Raw genomic sequence first — 20656 nt, forward strand, 5'->3', positions numbered from 1 at the left:
TTATTTGTTCAAACTTGTGTTATCCATTCCCGAGGAAAATGTTTTTAGATACTACACTACACTTTATGCTAAATGCAATTTAATATTTCCTTTCTTTTCTTTTCTTTTTTTTTTTTTTTTGTGAGACAGAGTCTCCCTCTGTCACCAGGCACAATCTCAGCTCACTGCACTCTCTGCCTCCCAAGTTCAAGCAATTCTCCTGCCTCAGCCTCCCCAGTAGCTGGGACTACAGGCGTGCATCACCACGCCCGGCTGATTTTTTGTATTTTAATAGAGATAGGGTTTCACCATGTTGGCCAGGATGGTCTCGATCTCCTGACCTCGTGATCCACCCACCTCGGCCTTCCAAAGTGCCGGGATTACAGGTGTGAGCCACCGCGCCTGGCCTTAATATTTTCTTGATGAGTTGGTCACCATTATGCACATCAGTTACTATGCTGTCCTATAATGTAACAACGCCTCCTACAGCCAGAGAAGGTGCATATGAGGGCTGTTGGTTGCAACACTCAACACCCCAGACATCTCTGTTCCTTGAAGATGCCCCCAAAAACACCTCCTCATCCCCCAAATTGCTCCTTCTAATGCTTGTGGGTTGAGAAACCAAAACCCTAACCCCGTTGGAACTATCTCAACAGGCTCCGAGGGAAGATATAAGGGTTCTTTTTTTTTTTTTTTTTTTTTTTGAGATGGGGTCTCACTGTTCCCCAGGCTGCAGTGGGGTGGTATGATCAGAGCTCACTGTAACTTCAAACTCCTGGGCTCAAGCCATCCCCCTCCCCAGCCTCCTGTACAAGACACACACCATCAGCCTGGGCGCTGTGGTTCATGCCTGTAATCCCAGCACTTTGGTAGGCCGAGGCAGGTGGATCACCTGAGGTCAGGAGTTCGAGACCAGCCTGGTTACTGTGGTGAAAACCTGTCTCTACTAAAAATACAAAAAAAATTAGCCAGGCATGGTGGTGGGTGCCTGAAATCCCAGCTACTTGGGAGGCTGAGGCAGGAGAATTGCTTGAACCTGGGAAGCGGAGGCTGCAGTGAGCCAAGATAGCATCATTGCACTCCAGCCTGGGAGACAGACTCAAAAAAAAAAAAAAAAAAAAACACACACACACACACCACCAAGCCCAGCTGAATTTTTTTTGGTGGTTGTGTACGTGTGTGTGTGTGTGTGTATGAAGATGGGGTCTCATTATGTTGCCCAGGCTGGTCTTGAACTCCTGGCCTCAAGTGATATTCCTGCCTCAGCCTCCCAAAGTGCTGGGATTCCAGGCATGAGCTACTGGTCACCGCCTAATGGGTTCTTTTATGACTCCAGTGAGAAGGAACTCCAAAATCCTACTGACCTGGGCTCCAATCCTGCTCTGCCTCTTACTAGGCATGTGGCCCTGGACAAGTCATTTCAGTTGTCACCCATTTCAGTTTCCTGATCTGTAAAATGGAAATAATATTTGCCTCTTGCCAGAAGGCACTAAACTGTAACAGAGCAAGAGCTCAGTAAACACAGCCACCTCCTCACTGTCCCTGCTCATGGGCCTCGACCTACGCACAATGTGTCTCTGAGTCTCCGTGTTGGTGATAGCACATACCCGTGGAATCTATTATCAAGAACGTGTAATTTGGTGATGGCTGGGCATGGTGGCTCACACCTGTAATCCAGCACTTTAGGAGGCCGAGGTGGGTGAACCGCCTGAGCTCAGGAGTTCAGGCCCAGCCTGGGCAACATGGTGAAACTCTGTCTCTATTTGAAAAAAAAAAAAAGGAAGAAGAAAAAGAAAAAAAGAAAAAACAAAAAGAATGTGTAATTTGGTGGGGGGGCAGCCAGGGGCAGAGGGTGGTGTTGGAATATTTACCCAGCATTAGACCACCCTCGTGGGATTTGCTGTTTGTTTATGAAGAAACTGCAGAATGCCAATAACCCTGGCATCCCAGCCATTCCATCTGACGGAGGGTTTACCCAGAAGGCTGGGCAGACCAAGCCCAGGAGTGAGCACGCATGTGTGTGTGTGTGTGCATGTGTGTGTGTGTGTGCATGTGTGTGTGTGTGTGCATGTGTGTGTGTGTGTGTGTGCCTGCATGTGCATATAAAACTACCCAGTTACCCACCCCTGGCCCAGCCCTGGGCTTCCGTTTCCTCTCTAGAAAAACTCGCTGACTATAAAGCGCTGATTTAAAATAATAAACACGAGGAGTCCAGTGTTCACAGCAAAATGTCAGGGAAATAATGTGGATGAAAGGTGGGGCCTAAATTGCATATGCATGATGATGACAAACTGGGAAAGCTCTGTTTATACACAGATCGGGGTCAGAAAAGGCCACAGAAAGCTGCGACAGGGAAAGGATGGAGGGGTTGATTTTCTGCAAAGTTGTTTACATGTTCAATGACTGATTATTCCTCCTCACATGCAGCTGAATCTGATGGCCCTGCAGTCCCCTTCTACGCACGTCATCATTGTTCTGGTCCCTGGACCCTCCACTGATGCCCATCTGCATACTCTCCACGGAGGGATGACGGCTTCTTTCCCGTCCCGGGTCAGTGGAGGAGCCCAGGGCCAAAGAGCCAGGACTGGCTTGAGTTTGCCTCCTCTTGCTCTGTGTCCTGCACACCTCTCCCTGCAGCCTGCTTCCTGAAGGCTGAAAGCCCCCAGGCCTGCTGCTTCCTGCCCACCGCACCTCACACCAGCTCCTGTCCCGATTCAGCCCCCTGCCTTTCTCAAGTACTCCTGGCCACGTGCCCACAGGGAACATCGTCATGGGCTTCTCCCTTCTTTGCATCCAATTCCCATGGGGAGAAGGGGGTGCCTCCTGTTATACCTTAGGGACTGCCATCTCTTGGCACTGTTCAGCTACGTTGCTTAGCAAAGACATTTGGGGGCAGCCAGAAAAGTAGGAGGCCCAGATGCCTGGGTTCCAGAGAAAGAGAGGCTTTCAGGGAAGTCCCCCAACCCACCTTTCTCACTCATCAGTGACCCCTCCCCTGTAATCCAGCCCCACTACCTCCTCTCAACCTCACTGAGCCTCAGTCCCCTTATCTGTGAAATGGAGCCAGTAACATCCAGGATTAAATGGGATGAGGTGCATGCAACAGCTACCTGCCGTCTGCAGACAGGGTGTCTCTGGAAGCCTCAGTTTCCTCTCACCCTCCCTACGGCAGCTCCCTCCAGCCCCTAGGAGCAAATGTTCCTTTGCTGGGTGAATGATTGCTGTGTAATTTGCAGGTGTGAAAGAAACTGCACATCCACAGCTTCCTCATGTTTTACTTGGTGAAAAAAGGTCTTAACAGGCTCTTCATTCCATGAGAGAATTTTGCTCCCAAATAGCCTTTCTGCTCTGAAGTAAGGGTACAAAATATTTGTCAGCAGTTCCTAGTCCCTACTTTGCCAAATGCTAAAGGCACGCCCCGCCCACCACCACCCCCAACCATCCTGGCTGCCTTCCCCATTGTCCGCACTCATTGGCCGCTGGTCCTGCAGGTCCTGGTCCTGAGCCCAGTCCCCTCCTTCCTCCTCACCCAGCCCAGGGGCAGTTTAGGGCAGTAAAGGGCAAGTAATTCCGTAACAGGTCCTGGGGCAGGACCCAGGCCAGGGGAGCGAAATGGGCAAACACTGCCAGCCTCGGCTCCTCCTGATCCATCTGTCCTCCCTTCCGGCTGCTCTGGGCCTGTGTTGCCTCTTGGGATGGGGGACCCATGGAGCAGCAATCAGTGCTCCATGGAACACAGACAAATGAGCCCTGGGCTGGGAGTCAACGCCTGGGCTCCCGTCCTGTTTCTGCCACCAAAGTGATGGGTGACAGTGAACCAGTTATCACCCATCTCTGTTTCGTCCTCTGTTCCCTCCTCTGGACAGCGGCTCACACCTGTAATCCCAGCACTTTGGGAGGCTAAGGCAGGCGGATTATCTGAGGTCAGGAGTTCGAGGCCAGCCTGGCCAACATGGTGAAATCCTGTCTCTACTAGAAATACAAAAAAATTAGCCAGACGTGGTGGCGGCCACCTGTAATCCCAGGTACTTGGGAGGCTGAGGCAGCAGAATCACTTGAACCCGGGAGGAGGAGGTTGCAGTGAGCCAAGACTGTGCCATTGCACTCCAGCCTCAGAAATAAGAATGAAACTCTGTCTCAAAAAAAAAAAAAAAAAGGAATGGGGGACAGGCAGGGGCTAGAGGATGGGTCGTGAGAACCATTGGCTAGGTCTCTGCCCACCCAAGGTGGCTCTCAGAACATCCTCCCCGCCCCAGCACAGCCTGAGTGTCAGATGGCCTCATCCTCCTTATCCCCTGACCTTGCAGGCTGCAAGGCCCATGCTGCTCGGCAATATTCACTCATTAACTCATTGGTGGGGCCCCAGCCCCACCCCATCCCACACTCCCTGATCACCTGCTCTTCCTGTCAGAACCCCACCCACTGGCCTCCTGCGAGGAGCCCAGGACAGGTTGTCTGGCTGGCCTCTGACCTCTCAGGCTGCCAACAGCCCCATGTGTACCTTCTGTCCTTCCCCACAGAGCTGCGCATGGGCATGGGGGGATAAGGGCTGCAGAGGAAGAAGACTTTTGACACTGGCAATGCTTCTTCATGCTGCCAGTGACAGCAGCAACAAAACCACAAAACTCACAAGAACCCAGAAATCCAGGTGTCTATTTCGAACTGGGAAACTGCGTTCATCCCCCACTGACCCTGGAGGGAGTCCCCAGCCAGAGCCGACAGGGGATGGGAGAGAGAAAGACAAGGGCAAGCACATGGGTAGGAGAAAGGCGGTGCCTGGGGTCTGGAGAAAGTTCTGGGACCTACCCTGACCAGAAGGGGCCTGGTCCCCTGGTTCTTGCATCCTGTCCTCCAGCCCTTGCCCCCGATCCTTGATGGGGCCCACATCCCAGGAGGCAACGGCAGCAGGGGAGATGAATGACACCTCACTCCAGGGCTCAGGGGAGACCGCTGTCCCGGGTGTCCCTCCCCACAGCAACACAGGCTGCTGCAGCTTGTGTTTTTTGTTGTTTTTGTTTTTGTTTGATGGAGTCTCACTCTGTCGCCCAGGCTGGAGTGCAGTGGTGCGATCTCGGCTCACTACAATCTCTGCCTCCTAGGTTCAAGTGATTCTCCTGCCTCAGTCTCCTGTGTAGCTGGGATTATAAGCACGCCCCATCACACCTGGCTAATTTTTGTATTTTTAGTAGAGATGCGGTTTCGCCATGTTGGCCAGGCTGGTCTTGAACTCCTGACCTCAGGTGATCCGCCCGCCTCAGCCTGCCAAAGTTCTGGGATTACAGGCATGAGCCACCATGCCCGGCCCCATTTCCACCATCTTCAGAGGCCAAATGCCGGGATGCTGTGAGTTGAGGAAGACCCTGGTGGGTGGGCCTGGGAACCCAGGCACCTTTTAAAAAGTCACATTAGTCCCAAACCAGTGACTCAGAAGCTTCTGGAACACAGCCCACTGTAAGCTGGGGCCTCCTGCCTTCGATCTCAGGCTCCCAATCGGACCTTGAGAGCTCTCTGCCCCTCCTGCTCTGTTCCCAAAGCTGCCTCCCAGGCACTGCTTGCATGCCAAGGTCAGGCTCCCCTGGGATGCTAATATTTTTATTCTTGATTTCTATCTTTTTTTTTCTGTTTTCTAAGTTTTAGGGTTTTATGTCTTAGCAATACTCAAAGGAGAACAATCATGAGTTTAGAAGTGATCTCCGAGTAGCCACGTGGTGGGGCACCCAGGCCCCGGCCCAGCCCTGTGGCCATACCTTCTCAGTCCTTTTCCCTGGAAGCTCCAGGAGCCTCAAAATAAGCTCCTTGTCCACCTGAGGAGATGGAGCTAGAGAGACCAGTCATCCTCAGACCTCAGACCTTAGAACCTGGGATGCCTGGGCATGGTGGCTCACGCCTGTAATCCCAGCACTTTGGGAGGCCGAGGCGGGCGGATTATGAGGTCAAGAGATCGAGACTATCCTGGCCAACATGGTGAAACCTTGTCTCTACTAAAAATACAAAAATTAGCCAGGCGTGGAGGCGCGTGCCTGTCATCGCAGCTACTCAGGAGGCTAAGGCAGAAGAATAGCTTGAACCTGGGAGGCGGAGGTTGCAGTGAGCTGAGATCGCGCCATTGCACTCCAGCCTGGCAACAAAGCAAGACTCCGTCTCAAAAAAAAAAAGAACCTGGGACTGGCTAATGCATGGCCTGAAGAGATATGACTGGTGTTTCCACCTAGTCAATGACCAGAAACTCACAGCCCCCTCTACAGAGATTTGGGGTGGGGACGGCAGGGCAGCACATAGCCACTGTCTCCAGGAGGTGGGGTGGGAAGCAAAGCTCCTGCTCTCAGGCAGCTCTCAGTGCTCCAAGGAACATACACAAATGAGCCCTGGGCTGGGGGTCAATGCCTGGGCTCCCGTCCTGTTTCTGCCACCAAAGTGCTGGGTGACAGTGAACCAGTTATCACTCATCTCTGTTTCCTCCTCTGTAAAATGGGTAGTCTGGGCTAGATGCCCTGCCAGGCCCTGCCTATGTTAACATCCTCTACCCATTTCTAGAACAAATCAGCAGGATGAGACATGAGTGGAGAAATCAGCAGAGGAGTGGAAGATTCTGTCTGTCCACCCTGGGCCTGCACATAGCACCTGGTCTCCAGGACCCAGGCACTGACCTCCATGGCTGCTAGAGGCTCACGTCAGTCAGCAAGGATTCTGGGCACGCCCTGCCTCTCCTGACACCCAGAAGGTCACCGCTTCAGAGCTGACTCTACCCCAGCCCCACTAACCACAGAACAGAGCTGGCGTGGGAGTTAAGACATCTCTACCAGACAGAGCACTGCAGGGGCAGGAAGTGGGGGAGCCTCTCTTGACCATCATTGGCACGAGGCTGGCAGGCTGGGCACCAAACCCAGATGCAGACATCTCCGCCTCATTCTCTGGTCACCGGCTTGCTGGCTCCCCAGGGACACACACTGCCTACTGTCCCTCAGGTCCCCTGGTCTCTGCAGCCCCTGAGGGCCTGGCACTTGGTGGGAACACAATACTATAATAGTTAAGCTGAGGCCGAAATTCCACCCCTTCCAGTAGAAAGCGTGCTCCAGGACCAGCAGAATGCGTGCTTTAGGACCAGGAGACCCTACGTCACAGTGGCCGGCATGACTGTCCCCATTTGCATCCCCACACCACACCTTCAGTGGGGAGACCACCATTCTCCACTTCATAGAACTCCCCAGGCACCCCGAGCTCCCGGAGGCAGGAAATATGACAACTGCGTCTTCCCTCTGTGCAGCCCTTCACGTATCCTAATGCGCTTTCCCCCACATCTCCTGCAATCCTGACAACAACCGTGTCATGCAGGCAGAGCGGACGTTATCCCCATTTGACAAAGGGGCACTGAGTCCACACAGCTAGTCAGTGCTGGGGAGAGATGGGAATCAAGGAGCCCTCTTCCCAAGGGAGGTCCTCCTTGCCAGGGTCACTGACAGGGAATGGCCAGGACAATGCTGCCTCAAGACCAGCCCTGGGTGGGCCTTCCTGTCACACACTTAGACTGGGCACAGGTGAAGAGTGGCCCTGAGGCCCAATGCCCTGACATCCTCCTTTCCCTGGGGCCAAGCACAGGCAGACTCCGGGTAATGGCACAGGGGTGAAAAGGCAGGGACTAGGGAGAGAGGTGAGAGCCCCGGAGGCCCCCAGGACACATTTTGACTCAAAGGCAAAGCAAACAGCAACTCCAACAGGTCCCAAGTTGGTGAGAGCTGCAGGAGAGGACGCTGTGGGGGGACAGTGGGCAGGACTCACCTCCCGCAGCAGCTGCATCCCCTTGAGCTCCTCCTGCTGCTGCTGGGCCACGGTGACCCCCAGGACCAACGTGTGCACCACACAGGAGACCACGGAGATGATCACGATGGGGCTGAGGCTGAGGGGCAGCGTGATGAAGAAGGAGAAGACAAAGAAGACCTGCCAGCCCACCGTGTCACTAGCCGCGTGGGCACGCGCGAAGTTCAGGCCCAGGTAGGAGAAGATCTGGGCGGTTATGAGCAGCCACAGCACGTAGGGCAGCACTCTGCGGGTGACCCGGTCCGGGAGCAGCCCCTTTTTGCAGAGCACGAAGAGGATGATGTCCAACACCAGTCCAATTCCAGCCACGGCGAGGGAAGCCAGCTTGTCGCTGGAGAAGACCACAGCACACATGACCACCACGTAGCAGTCAAAGAGGGCTGCAAAGACCACCAGCACCAGCAGGGTCTCGTGGCGCTGCCTTTTGAAGTAGGTCTGGTAGAGGTTCTCCAAGGACTCCGGCACGAAAGTCAGCCGCATGAAGCGAGGCAGGCACAGGCAGGAGCCCGAGTTCCGGACCGAGATTTCATGGGTCCGGCCCACCCCGCGGTCAGGGTCGGAGGGCAGGCTGACGGAGTACTCGGCTGAGTACTCGGCCGAGTATTCGGGCTCGGAGAAGCCCTGGTTCCTCGGCATACTGGCTGGTGTCTGCTACTGGCCCTAGAGAAGTGGACTGGGAACGGAGGAAGAGCTCTGGACTGGGCCTCCTCTCAGGGCTCTCTGAGACCGGGGGAGGGCTGAGGGCCTCTTCTTGTCTGGGGCGGAGGGGAGGCCACCTCCAGCAGGAACGCAGAGCGGGTTTCCAGAGCACAGGTAGCACTGATCAGCTAGAACTGAAAAGGGCATTGCTGAGTAGAAGCACCTCTTCCCTCCTACCTTGCGGTTTCCCCATGACCCGCCCTAACCCTCATAAAAGGATCTCTGCTGCAAGAGCCTCCCAACCCAGGGCCTTCCCTGCCACCCCCGGCTCACACCACCGCCCACCGCAGGCACACTTAGTCCTGTCCACGCCAGACACTCAATTTCCTGTCCCTGGCTTGTGGAAGGGCCTAGCCGCCTTTCCATCCCTGGTAACCGGTTTCTCTCTGTCATCTCTTCTTTCTCAGTCCCCGACTTCCTCACCTAAATTCCCTCCAGGCCCAGTCCTTAGAAGCTGTAAATAAAATGTGCCGGAAAGAAATCAGGACCATCGTGGGGGATTCCTGAGCCTTCCTTCTGTTTACTTCCTTTTTCCACCAAACCCTTGGAGGCTCGGGCTCCGATCCGGCCCCCTTCCCACGCTCGGGGCGCTGTCTTCCCCCCCGGAAGCCTGGCCCTGCCCCTGCGTTTACCTGTGCGGGAACTCGGCCACCGCGTGCTCCGGGACGGTCCCCGCGCGGGCTGGGGCGGGAGAGCTCGGCGCGCCCGAGGGCTGCTCCCCGCAGAGCCGCGCCGCCCCGGCAGCGCCTCGGGGCCCGGCCGGAGCGCGATCTCCCGCCGTCAGGCCCGGGATCCGACCGGGAGAGGCGCAGGGCTGCCCCTCAGCATCCGCGGGCGCCCGGCCGCAGGGGGAAGGAGGAGGCGGCGACGAGGGCTGGGAGATCCGTGGGCGCCGGCCCAGCGCGCCCGCCCTGGGGCTGAGGCTCAGGGGCAGGGGCCGTGCGGGGGCCGGCAGGCGCGGGCGGCGGCGAGCGCGGCTCTCCGGACCCCTCCCCTGCACCCGCGGCGGCGGCGGCTGCTAGGGGCGCGCGCGGGGCCCTCCCCGGCGGGAGCGCGGGCCGAGCCCGGGGAAGCCCGCCAGCATCCTCTCGCCCGCCCGCGCCGAGCCGAGCCAGCCGAGTCCGGGCTCGGCGTGCTGCACAGCTATTCCCCGCGCGGCGCCGGCGGCTCCGGGGCCACGCGCGCTCCAGGCCCCGGGAGGCGGGAGGCGGGAGGCGGGAGGCGGGCGGGGCGGCCCCTCCCTCGCCCCAGTCTCCGCCCTCTCGGCGGCGCGTTCCGGAGTGGGGCGGCGAGGGAGGCGCCGGGCGGCGGTCCCAGGACCCGCGCGGGCGAGAGGTGGAGGGGCCCGGGCGGCCCCCGATCCGGCGCGGGCGGCGGGCTGGGGCGATGGCTGCGTGGAAGCGCGGGCGCGGGCGCGGGCGTGGGCGGTGGGCGGTGGGCGGCAGGGCTGGGGCGAATCCACCCCTTCCAGCGAGGAGGCCCGGTCTAGGAGGATGGAAGCCCGGGACGCGCCCGCCCGCAGGTGAGGCGCGCTCGGGGCACCCCGCCGCCCCCTCCTCCGCCGCGGCTTCCTTCCGGGCCGGCAGAGGCCAGGGCTCAGGTTTGGGGACCGCTCCGCCGCGGGGCACGTGGGGCCTAAGTATCCCCGCCCACCCCGGGAGCCCAGACTCCGGAGCGCCGGGCCTGAGCTTTCCGCAGAGGGGCTCGGCAGCGGAGCCCTGTCCTGCTCCCAGGAGGCGGGTGGCGGTGGCCCGGTGGGCACTACACACGTGGAACTGGAAGAGTTCCTGAGACCCTGCTTCGAAGAGATTTCCCGTGCACATTCTACCCGTTTGAGATGTGTTTGAGTTCACAAACTGTCCCTTAAAGATGCGAATGCTCCTTTGAATAGTTAAACCTATCAGTCTCTTACACCATAGTATAAATTATTTTCCTTGCATTTGACAGAACACCGTGCTAAGATCAACTACAGGCTTTGGGAATTTAAATAAAGGAAGAGGAAAGAGATAGAATGTTTTGGGACAAAAGGGACAAAAGCATGTGTGGGAAGGTAAGTGCTGAGGACAGCCAGCAGCAATAGGGGGTCATCTCCCCTGGGGAGAGCTGAAGGAATGAACAGAGGGGAGAGAAACTTGGCTATCCAGACCCTGGATGGAGCTGCCACCCCATGCCCCTGAGAGTTATCCGCGGGCACCCCTTCCAGAACCTCAGGCATCACCTTGCATCCCTCGGGGAATGGATCCATTAGAGAATCGATCCTGCCACTGCTGTTTCTACCGTTCCCTCACACTCTGTCTGAAAAGGCGCCACCTTCAGCCCATACTTCGCAGGGCTTTGATTCCAAAGGTAGGGGACCTAACATCAGATATAGGAGTTTGGTAATTTAAATAAAGCAAAACTTTGCCCCATTGTTTTATTTTATTTCTATTTTTTATTTTTTCGAGACTGAGTCTCACTCTGTCACCCAGGCTGGAGTGCAGTGTTGTGATCTCAGCTCACTGCAACCTCCACCACCCAGGTTCACGCAATTCTCCTGCCTCAGCCTCCTGAATACCTGGGATTGCAGGCACACACCACCAAGCCCGGGGTAATTTTTGTATTTTTAGTAGATGGGGTTTCACTATGTTGGCTAGGCTGGTCTTGAACTCCTGACCTCAAGTGATCCGCCCACCTCAGCCTCCCAAAGTGCTGGGATTACAGGGATGAGCCACTGCTCTGGGCTGCCCCATTGTTTTAATTTGCTGGAGGTTTTTGGGTTTTGGGGGGGATTTTTTTTGGAGGGAGTTATTTGTGGTTTGTTTTTTGTTTTTGTTTTTTAAAAAGGAAGGCATTTATTTATTTATTTATGAGACAGAGTCTCACTCTGTCGCCCAGGCTGGAGTGCAGTGGCCATCTCAGCTCACTGCAACCTCCGCCTCCTGGGTTCAAGCAGTTCTCCTGCCTCAGCCTCCCAAGTAGCTGGGATTATAGGCACCTGCCACCATGCCTGGCTAAATTTTGTATTTTTAGTAGAGACAGGGTTTCATCATGTTGGCCAGGTTGGTCTCGAACTCCTGACCTCAAGTGATCTGCCTGCCTCAGCCTCCCAAAGTGTTGGGAATACAGGTGTGAGCCATCATGCCTGGACTTTGCTGGAGGTTTAAACATTTATTTTGAATTGTCACATGATGTTAAAGAGGACATGACTTTTATGTTTTACAAAGGGAGATGTAATGTACGGCAAGGCGCAGTGGCTCATGCCTGTAATCCCAGCTCTTTGGGAGGCCGAGGCAGGCAGATCACTTGAGGTCAGGAGTTCGAGACCAGCCTGGCTGACATGGCAAAACCCTGTCTCTACCAAAAAATACAAAAATTAGCCGAGCGTGGTGGCGGGTGCCTGAAGTCCCAGCTGCTCAGGAGACTGAGGTGGGAGAATCGCCTGACCCTAGGAGGCAGAGGTTGCAGTGAGCCAAGATCGTACCACTGCACTCCAGCCTGGGCAACAGAATGAGACCCTATCTCAAAAAAAAGTGGGGGTTGGGGGAGAGATGTGCTAATGTTTTTTAAAAGGCTGATAAATCTTGTGCTTGGTCCTGCTTTGGCACAAGAGACACCATGTTGCACCCTCTGTGGGTCCCTTCCCCTTCCTTGGCATACATGCCAGCCCTGTGATTCTCAGTGTGGCACCCTGTCCGCAAGGCCATGCCCAGCTCCTAAGCTGAGAGGGTTCTCTGCTGGGCCCTCTGCCACCACTCATGCCCCAGCCTCCCACCCCATGAAGGGAGAGAGTTCCACACAGAGGCACCCTCATATAAAAAGAACAACAACAAATTGATCCCTGCCTCTCCAGCCCCTGCCTGCTGGCTTCACTGTCCCACTCCCTGTTCTTCCACCATCCCTATCTCTCCTCTGTGGGCCCCTGTTCAGCGGGCACTGGGGAAACCAGAGGAGCCTTATAGTTCTGCCAAGGCACCATGTTGACTCATGAGGCAGACCCTCAGGTGTACACAGGTTACAGTTGGGGGTGACTTCTGGCTGAGGTGATCAGAGACAGGGCCTTTCAGGGCAAGAGGGAAGGATCTGATGGGCCTGAAAGGCAGGCGTTCCAGGTGGCTGGAGCCTCCCTGCAAAGGCCCAGCCGCAGGAAGAGCACAGCACATTCCCATCCCTGCTCCGCGTTCAGGGTTCTGGCACGGCCTTTCCCTGTGGATATGGGAAACGCAGTGGGACAGCAGTAGGCCCTTGCGAGGACTCCCGGGGAGCCAGAAGCATCTGGGTGAATATTCCTGGGCAAGAGAGCTGCTTGACATCCTGCCACAGAGGAGATCAGGGAAAATGCCGCGAGGGCCTCATCCATCTCACTCACAGTGGCTTCCCCAGTACCTGGCACCTAGTAGATACTCAAAAAATAGTCATTGAATGAATGGAAGTCTCCCTAAGAAGAAATGGTACTTTATAAAGGCACTGGCTGTCCTTGAAGGGACCAGCTGGCCTCATTCCCTGATACTGAGAATGTCCTGGTCCCAGGGCAATGAAAAATATCCACCCTCGAGTGAAAAGGGTGGGATTATGGGGGAGCTGTTTTCACTTTCCAAGCTATACATTTTGTATTGATGTAACCTGGACAACTGGCATGCTTCGCTTTTATAATCAAATGATACAGGAAATCTATACACACACAACTCAGGACCTCAAATGGCTGCATGGGTGACTTGCCCCTGTGGCTTGTCCTAAAAGGAAGACAGAATCATAGACTTAGGTCGAAGCTTGGAGGGCATCCTGACCCCCCCCAACCTCAATCCAGCATCTGCCTGGATGGGATGCCTCTTTGCTGAAGGCAACTTTTTGTTTGTGTGGTTCAAGACTAGAAATCATGGCTGAGAATTAATTGTTACTGGATAAACAAGAATGGTTTGGCCCCCCCGGGGAATGTGGTGGCTCTTGAATCCAGCAAACAATAGATCAGAGCAGAACTCTGTGTCCTGGGGGAAAACAGAAGTGGGAGAGAGAAGATCATTAGCTCCCCTGGTGCTGGGCACCAGGAGAGCCCTGTCTGGGGCCTGAAAGCAGAGCTTGAGACCCGGCCTGCATGCAGGTGGTTCAACTGGGGAAGTGATTCCAGGGAAACAGAGCAGGAGCCTGGGAAGCTCAAAACAGAGAAGGCAGGAAAGCCGGTAAATATGAGGGTTTGTGACGGAGTTGGCCACTGGTGTGGGAGGGGGCCTTGATCCTGCTGGGACCCTCTGATGAGCCTTGCAGAAGGCACCTCAGAGCTTTCCACTGGAGGGCTGGCAAAGGTGGGTGTTCGTCCTCCTTTCATCCTTCCCTGTTGGTTAAGGGTTGCCAGTTGGGGTATTCTCTCCCTGGCTCTTGTGCAAAGGAGGCTAAGCAGTGAGCGGACTGGGCAGGAAACGAGGGATCCTCAGTGCAGATACCTGGCAAGGTGCTGCTGGGGTGTGCCTGCAGCAGTAACGGGAGTGGAGAGGGGGACCGGGGGGATGTGGCATGTGATACTCAAGCATCCTGTGCAGGGCCCACACCCCTCATCCATTCCTGCTGGCTCAGAGGCTCAGCAGTTTGGATCCTGTCACCTGGAGGAGAGGTGTGTGGTACCCTAGGGAAAGCTGGCTCCCTGGAATCAGAGAGCTCAGTTTTGAGCATGGCCTTGATGAGAGCTGAGCACCTCGGACCAATTACTCAGCCCCCACAAGCCTGTGTCTCTGTGGTGCAGTGACAGCACTAACCCTTAGTCAGGATCCTTGTCAGGAAGTAGGGGATTCATGGGACCAACATGGTGGGCAGATCTCAACAAATCAACTGGAGTTACCATTATCTCACAGCAGACAGCTGAGCAGCCGTGAGCACTTCTGCCCCAGCATGGCCTGCACAGCTGGCTGGCTGCCTGCCCCCAGTCCCCTCCATGGCTGCATCTGGGGCCCCGCGACTCCAGCGCAGTCTTCCTCTAACAGTATCGACAGCACTGGCCCATCTGACCCTGTGTCCTCCCTTCTTTGTCTCTGTCCCTGGTCTCTCCCTTCTGCCCCGTGTTGGAGCCTCCCTGACTCTCACAGGGTCACTCCTTGGGCACTGTGGATGGGTGTAAGAGCGTGTGTGTAGGGCTGTGAATGTGAGGAGGGGTGTGAGGAATGTGTGTGGGTGTGAGAGTGGGGAGTGTGTGTGTGTGAGAACGTTCCTTCACATTTGTGTGTATGAGTGGATATGTGAGTGTGCATGTCTGAGAATGTACGTTCATGTTGGCATGTGTGTGAGAATTGTACCTTCATGTTTGTGTGTGAGCGCGTGTGTGAGAACATATGTTCGTGTTTGTGTGTGGGGGTGTAAATGTGCATGTGAAAATGTGCGTTTGCATTTGTGTGTGAATGGGTATGTGAGTGCGAGTGTGTGAGAATGTTGCTTCATGTTTGTGTGTGTGTGGGTGTGTGTGATTGTGTGCGTGTGAGAATGTACCTTCGTGTTTGTGTGTGCGAGTGGGTATGTGAGCATGATTGTGTGAGAATGTACTTCACGTTTGTGTGTGTGGGTGGGTGTGATTGTGTATGTGTGAGAGAATGTACCTTCATGTTTGTGTGAGTGTAAGTGGGTGTGTGTGTGTGAGAACGTACCTTCATGTTCCTGTGTGTTGGTGTGTGTGATTGTGTGTGAGAACGTACTTCACGTTTGTGTGGGTGTGTGTGATTGTGTGAGAACGTACCTTCATGTTACTGTGTGTGTGTGATTGTGTGTATGAGAATGTACCTTCACGTTTGTGTGAGTGGGTGTGTGAGTGTGATTGTGTGTGAGAATATACCTCCACGTTTGTGTGTGAATGAGTGTGTGATTGTGAGAACGTACCTTCGTGCGTGAGTGGGTATGTGTGGTTGTGTGTATGTACTTTCACATTTGTGAGTGTGAATGGGTGTGTGTGATTGGGTGTAAGAATGTACCTTCATGTTTGTGTGTGTGAGTGGGTGTGTGAGCGTGACTATGTGTGAGACGTACCTTCACGTTTGTGTGTGAATGTGAGTGGGTATGATTGTGAGTTTGTGAGAACACACCTTTGCGTTTGTGTGTGATTCTGAGTGGTTGTGTGAGATTGTGAGAACGTACCTTCATGTTTGTGTGTGAGTGGGTGTGTGTGATTGTGAGAACCTACCTTCACGTTTGTGAGTGTGTATGATTGTGAGTGTGTGAAAACGAACCTTCACGTGTGTGTGTAAGTGTGCATGCATGTGCCTGGGTTGCATCATCCGTCCTGGTGGGTGCCCGCCTCACCTCTTCCCTCTCCTCTCCTCGATCGGTGCCATCCACACAGGACGTGGGCTCTGCTGGCTGCCCTCGGGTGCTGTTTCTAGGCCCCTGACGCAGGCAGAGGGAAGCGGGCTGAGGATGCGCAGTGAAGACATCCAGGCACCCAGGCTGGTGCTGGGCTTGGTTCCGGGTCTTTGCCCCTTGGCAGGTGTGAGCGTCTCCTTGGGAGCAAGGACCAGGGTCCCTGGTTCCTCCTGCCCAGTATTTGAAACAGAGTGGCTATTCCACAGTCTGTCATTGAAATAATGTCACCGGCACACTAGCCACAGTGCCAGTAACACCCATGGGCCCGATCCCCAGACAGCGGCAGCAGCTCCCCTTCCTGCGCCCCGCCCTGCAGGCACCGCGCGCTGCCTTCTTCCCTTTGGTTTCCGCGGTGGGGACTCCCGGCGTCCCTGTTGTGCGGGTGGAGAAGCGGGAGCGCAGAGACATGAGGTAACTTGCTCCGGCCCCAGCTAGGAAGGGGCGGAGGCCCAGGCTCTGGCCACCCAGAAGTCCGGCTGTACCAGGAAGGCTCAGGAAGCTTCCTTTGCTTGTCACTGCTTCTCTGTAGCCAAGGGTGCCCTTGACCTCAGGGACTCAGAGCGAATCCTGGAGAGTCACAGCTCCCTGCTGGCAGTTGAAAGAGACTCCAAACACCATTCTGCTGCAGCCCTGGTGGAGACATTGAGGCCCAGAGGGGTTAAATTTGGGGAGAGAAGGACACGTGCCCACGGAGCGTGAAACGGCATGTGAATGCTGAGTAATTCCGAGGCCTCTGCGGGACGTCACGTTTCCAAAAGCGCGCGAGCCCTGCCCCTCCGGCAAGAGGCACCATAGAAATGTGTGCTAACAAGCCTCCCTGCGGCCTGCGGGGAATAGGAGAGAGCAGGAAGCTTTCAGAACAACAAGAGTGGCTAGAAAAGGCCCCGGATGGGAGGAGACGAACAGCCCAGCCCCACGGTCTTTCTCATGGGTGGAAAGTCACTAGCACCCAGAAAAGCAAGGCTAAGAGATCCTGGGGAGCTGGCACAAGTTCTCTGGTCTTAAAGACGCATGTGATTAGATCTGGCTCACTGGGATGTTCCAGGAGAATCTCTCCATCTCGAGATCCTTCACTTAATCACGTTTGCAAAGTCACTTTTGCCATGTAAGGCATCATAGTCACAGTTTCTGGGGGTTAGGGTGGTGACGTTTTGCGTGGACATGATTCTGCCTATTACGGCAGGCTCCTAATGTGATATAGATCCCGGTAGTACTGATTAGAGGAAGGACTCATCTTAATTCCTCCCATTAAAACTTTTTCTAATGTTTCTAATCTCGATGCTGAAATAAATGAGCCTTCGCCATGTTAAATTGGAGGAGAGGAAATCATCTCAACGGTCTGTGAAAGGGTGATTTTTGAGAAGAAAGAGGTCCTATACATTTTTATTTTTATTTTTTCTCACTCTTGTCACCCAGGCTGGAGTGCAAAGGCACGATCTCCGCTCACTGCAAACTCCATCTCCTGAGTTCAAGTGATTCTCCTGCCTCAGCTTCCCGAGTAGCTGGGACTACAGGCATATGCCACCATGCCTGGCTAATTTTTGTATTTTTATTAGAGATGGGGTTTCATCATGTTGGCCAGGTTGGTCTCAAACTCCTGACCTCAGGTGATCCACCCGCCTCAGCCTCCCAAAGTGTTGGGATTACAGGCGTGAGCCACCATGCCCGGCCACCCTAGAAATCTTTTAATGCAAGAGAATGCTGTAGAAAGAACTCCCACCTGTGGTTCCTCACCACCCTCACCCCTTCCAAGTTACCCTCAGCTGCAACAGGCCAGATCCCTTGTTCCAGGAAGGCTGGTTGGGAACAAGGGACCACCTGGAGTCAGCAGCTGAATGGATGCCTGAGGTTCATGGATTCTAAGACTTTTCCAAGCCCCCTTTCTGCTGCCACTGGAATTGTCTCCCAGAAACACAGTTCAGACTGTTTGACTTCCCAATTCTTTAGCATCCAGGCTTTTCCTTGGTTAGGCCCCAGCCTACTTATTCTCTCATATAATCTGCACACCAGTCATATGAGGTAAGTACAATTGCCATATCCATTTTACAGATGAAAACACTGAGATTAGATTCCTAACATGCCCAAGGTTCCACAACTGGCAAAGGGCACTGCCCATGTTTACACCCACACCTCTGAATCCAAGGCCCGGCACTTAGACACTGTGGCCTGCTCGACATCCTGGGTCATTGCTAGAGGAATTGGGGGGCTCATGCCTTCTCCTCTGCTTGGATGGGGGCCAACTTAACTGTGGACCAGAAGGGGTGGGCCATGGGAAAGACAAAGCAGGAGGAGTCAGCAGTACTGGAGGGGAGGCGGGGCCTTTATCTTAGCAGCCCTATCTGTTCAAATCCAGAGACATCTTCTCCACCCTGGGAGGCAGGAAAGCAGCCCAGTCAGAGAGGTGGAGCCCCGGACAGCAGATCTGCAACAGGGCAACACCCAACCCTGGCCCAGGGGAGGCCTGCAGCCTGGCCGGGAAGGGCTCAGGCCAGCTTGATTAACATACTGCTGACCCGGCTGGGCGCGGTGGCTGATACCTGTAATCCCAGCACTTTGGGAGGCCGAGATGGGTGGATCACGAGGTCAGGAGATCAAGACCATCCTGGCTAACACGGTGAAACCCCGTCTCTACTAAAAATACAAAAAATTAGCCAGGCGTGGTGGCGGGCGCCTATAGTCCCAGCTAATAGGGAGGCTGAGGCAGGAGAAAGGTGTGAACCCGGGAGGCAGAGCTTGCAGTGAGCCAAGATTGCGCCACTGCACTCCAGCCTGGGCGACAGAGCGAGACTCCATCTAAAACACAAACAAACAAACAAAAACAACAATAACAACAAAACCATATTGCTGACCCATTTTCATATCTTAAAATTATAAACAAAAGTACAAGCTCCGGCTATTCTATTTATCAAGTCAGAGCAGAGTGAGGCTGATATTTGTGGAAACTGAGGTTTCTCTGCTCACCTTGGTCATTTAGGGCACCCTCTCCTTGTTCCCCTCTCAGTGTCCAGGTCTCCCCAGTTCTTGCCATCTTCCCTCTCTCCTGTCTCAAAACACTGTGTCAGGACCAGAGCCCAGAGAGTGCCCCACCTGGAGGTGATAATGATTTGAATGTTAAGTCTAGGTCTTTAATTCCGTTTCTTCATGCTCCTGCTCCCAACCACTTAGGAAGTAGATCCAGAAATCAGGCAGTTGGGGCGCAACAGATCAGTTTCAGATGGATGAAAGTTGAGTTGGAGGCTGGGGCTTAGGTGTGTGGCCACAGCCTGAGATAATGCTTCACTTTGGACTTGAACTCCTCACCCCATCACAGACATATGGGTTGCCACAGGCCTCCCTGGAGGGTTGGAGCCTGCCCTGGGGAATATGGAATGGTAGGAAGGGGCAAGATCACAGAAGGCCTTGAATGCCTAGCTAAAACATCTAAATTTGGGCTTTGTGTTTTATAGGAGTTGTTGAGGATTCTTTTGAGTAGATGACATGTCCTGACCTGCTACATTCTTCCAGAGGATTGATTTGGGATAAAAGATGGTTTGGAAAAGAAAGGCTGTCAAGAGAAAACTGGGCCGGGCACAGTGGCTCACGCTTGTAATCCCAGCACTGTGGGAGGCTGATCACCTCCCACCTCAGGCGGGTGGATCAACCAAGGTCAGGAGTTTGAGACCAGCCTGGCCACCATGGCGAAACCCCGTCTCTACTCAAAATACAAAAATTAGCTGGGCGTGGTGGTGTGTGCCTGTAATCCCAGCTACTCGGGAGACTGAGGCAGAGGAATCACTTGAACCTGGGAGGCGGAGGTTGCAGTGAGCCAAGATCGTGCCGCTGCACTCCATCCTGGGTGACAGAGCGAGACTCTGTCTCAAAAAAAAAAAAAAAGAGGGAGAAAACCGGTGAGAAGATGCAAACTAATCACTCCTGGAAGACAGTGGTCCAAATCTAAGAATGCTCTCTAGTATTCATTCCACAAGGGTCTCAGGCCTCTCATGAAATCTCAGGCTGACTTACATTCACATTAGACACATTCAGGTTTTGGGCTGAGCATATCCATGAGTATTTGCAGATAGTAATTTTTATAACTATTAAATAATTCATGCTGACATTGTTTTCCCTCTTGTGTTCTTGAAAAAGATGCTGTTTCCCGCACAGGCAGTGGTGAAAATAAATTAGCCACCTGCTTTGCCATCCTTTTTCCAATCTTGCTGTGTCCCATGGGGGATGCCAGGCACTGCTGGGCACCTTTCTAAAAGTGTTCTATTCAGTAGAATATGTGCTGAGTTTTTTTTTTTTTTTTTTGGCAAAATCAGGCCTTAAAAAAATGTTACACTTTTTAATTTTCATTTAAAAAATTTCTTTTTCACTCCATTAAAATTCATCTCCGTGAAATGGGTTCAGAGTAGTTTTAGCAATTCTGTCTGTCACCCATTCTGAGATGCTGCTGGCACCACGTGCAGCCATCCCCTGCTGAATGGGAAGCAAGTGGCAGAGCTGAGTGTGCACCCAGAACCCTAGTGTTGGGGTCTGTGGTCAAGGAGGCCCCCACTCTCCTTTCATTCGCAGTCCCCCACGCCCAGCCCACACTACCTGCCAGTTTTACATCTGTTTGGACAGGAAGGCTTACAACCCTGCTCTGCTATTTTTAGGAAGCACTCACATTGAGTCAGCCTTTCTGCTGGCTTCACACCCTCTGCTCGCTGGTTCTCGGGCTGTCTGCCTTTTCAGCAGGAGCCCGGGGCTCACATCCTCAGACAGTGAGCACAATGCTTCTCTTCTCCCTGCCCATCTCAGCTTTGGTCTGCACCCCTGTTTTTATCACCTTCCTGGAACGAGGGCAGGCTTTTCTAGGGGTCCATATTTT

The 20656-nt window shown here is 54.2% G+C and overlaps 1 protein-coding gene and 1 long non-coding RNA gene across 28 annotated transcripts in view, besides 7 other annotated features; one reads left to right on the plus strand and one right to left on the minus strand.

The window, feature by feature from the left end:
* Window positions 1-9680, minus strand: part of ADCY3 (adenylate cyclase 3) — a 101069-nt gene extending 91389 nt beyond the window's left edge. For 26 of the 27 annotated variants that reach the window (XR_007068865.1, NM_001377130.1, NM_001377129.1 and 23 more), the window contains exons 1-2: window positions 9126-9680; window positions 7756-8627 (exon numbers count right to left, since the gene is read on the minus strand). Coding sequence is in view for 26 of the 27 variants with exons in the window: in NM_001377130.1 (NP_001364059.1) it covers window positions 7756-8430 (675 nt within the window). In the remaining variant the exon portion in view is untranslated. Of the gene's footprint in view, window positions 1-7755; window positions 8628-8916; window positions 9029-9125 lie in introns of those variants that run through there. The other variant, NM_001377132.1, reaches the window with a different exon arrangement.
* Window positions 6413-6662: an enhancer, noted in NCBI's record as "active region_15436". NCBI's record gives its function as "activates an Ori minimal core promoter by ATAC-STARR-seq in GM12878 lymphoblastoid cells {active_cell/tissue: GM12878}" and the evidence as "EXISTENCE:reporter gene assay evidence [ECO:0000049][PMID:35858748]".
* Window positions 9065-9794: a silencer, noted in NCBI's record as "silent region_11235". NCBI's record gives its function as "represses an Ori minimal core promoter by ATAC-STARR-seq in GM12878 lymphoblastoid cells {active_cell/tissue: GM12878}" and the evidence as "EXISTENCE:reporter gene assay evidence [ECO:0000049][PMID:35858748]".
* On the plus strand, window positions 9787-10901 carry LOC124907742 (uncharacterized). Its single transcript, XR_007086246.1, has 2 exons — window positions 9787-10015; window positions 10441-10901. It is a non-coding gene; the product is annotated as an uncharacterized LOC124907742 (long non-coding RNA).
* Window positions 9825-9884: a silencer, noted in NCBI's record as "silent region_11236". NCBI's record gives its function as "represses an Ori minimal core promoter by ATAC-STARR-seq in GM12878 lymphoblastoid cells {active_cell/tissue: GM12878}" and the evidence as "EXISTENCE:reporter gene assay evidence [ECO:0000049][PMID:35858748]".
* Window positions 9925-10134: a silencer, noted in NCBI's record as "silent region_11237". NCBI's record gives its function as "represses an Ori minimal core promoter by ATAC-STARR-seq in GM12878 lymphoblastoid cells {active_cell/tissue: GM12878}" and the evidence as "EXISTENCE:reporter gene assay evidence [ECO:0000049][PMID:35858748]".
* Window positions 10145-10234: a silencer, noted in NCBI's record as "silent region_11238". NCBI's record gives its function as "represses an Ori minimal core promoter by ATAC-STARR-seq in GM12878 lymphoblastoid cells {active_cell/tissue: GM12878}" and the evidence as "EXISTENCE:reporter gene assay evidence [ECO:0000049][PMID:35858748]".
* Window positions 15606-16320: an enhancer, noted in NCBI's record as "H3K4me1 hESC enhancer chr2:25149032-25149746 (GRCh37/hg19 assembly coordinates)". NCBI's record gives its function as "activates a minimal SCP1, AML or CMV promoter by ChIP-STARR-seq in primed H9 embryonic stem cells {active_cell/tissue: H9 hESC(primed)}" and the evidence as "EXISTENCE:reporter gene assay evidence [ECO:0000049][PMID:30033119]".
* Window positions 16317-16436: an enhancer, noted in NCBI's record as "active region_15437". NCBI's record gives its function as "activates an Ori minimal core promoter by ATAC-STARR-seq in GM12878 lymphoblastoid cells {active_cell/tissue: GM12878}" and the evidence as "EXISTENCE:reporter gene assay evidence [ECO:0000049][PMID:35858748]".

Source organism: Homo sapiens, chromosome 2 (assembly GCF_000001405.40).
Source record: "Homo sapiens chromosome 2, GRCh38.p14 Primary Assembly".
NCBI classification, from domain to species: domain Eukaryota; kingdom Metazoa; phylum Chordata; class Mammalia; order Primates; family Hominidae; genus Homo; species Homo sapiens.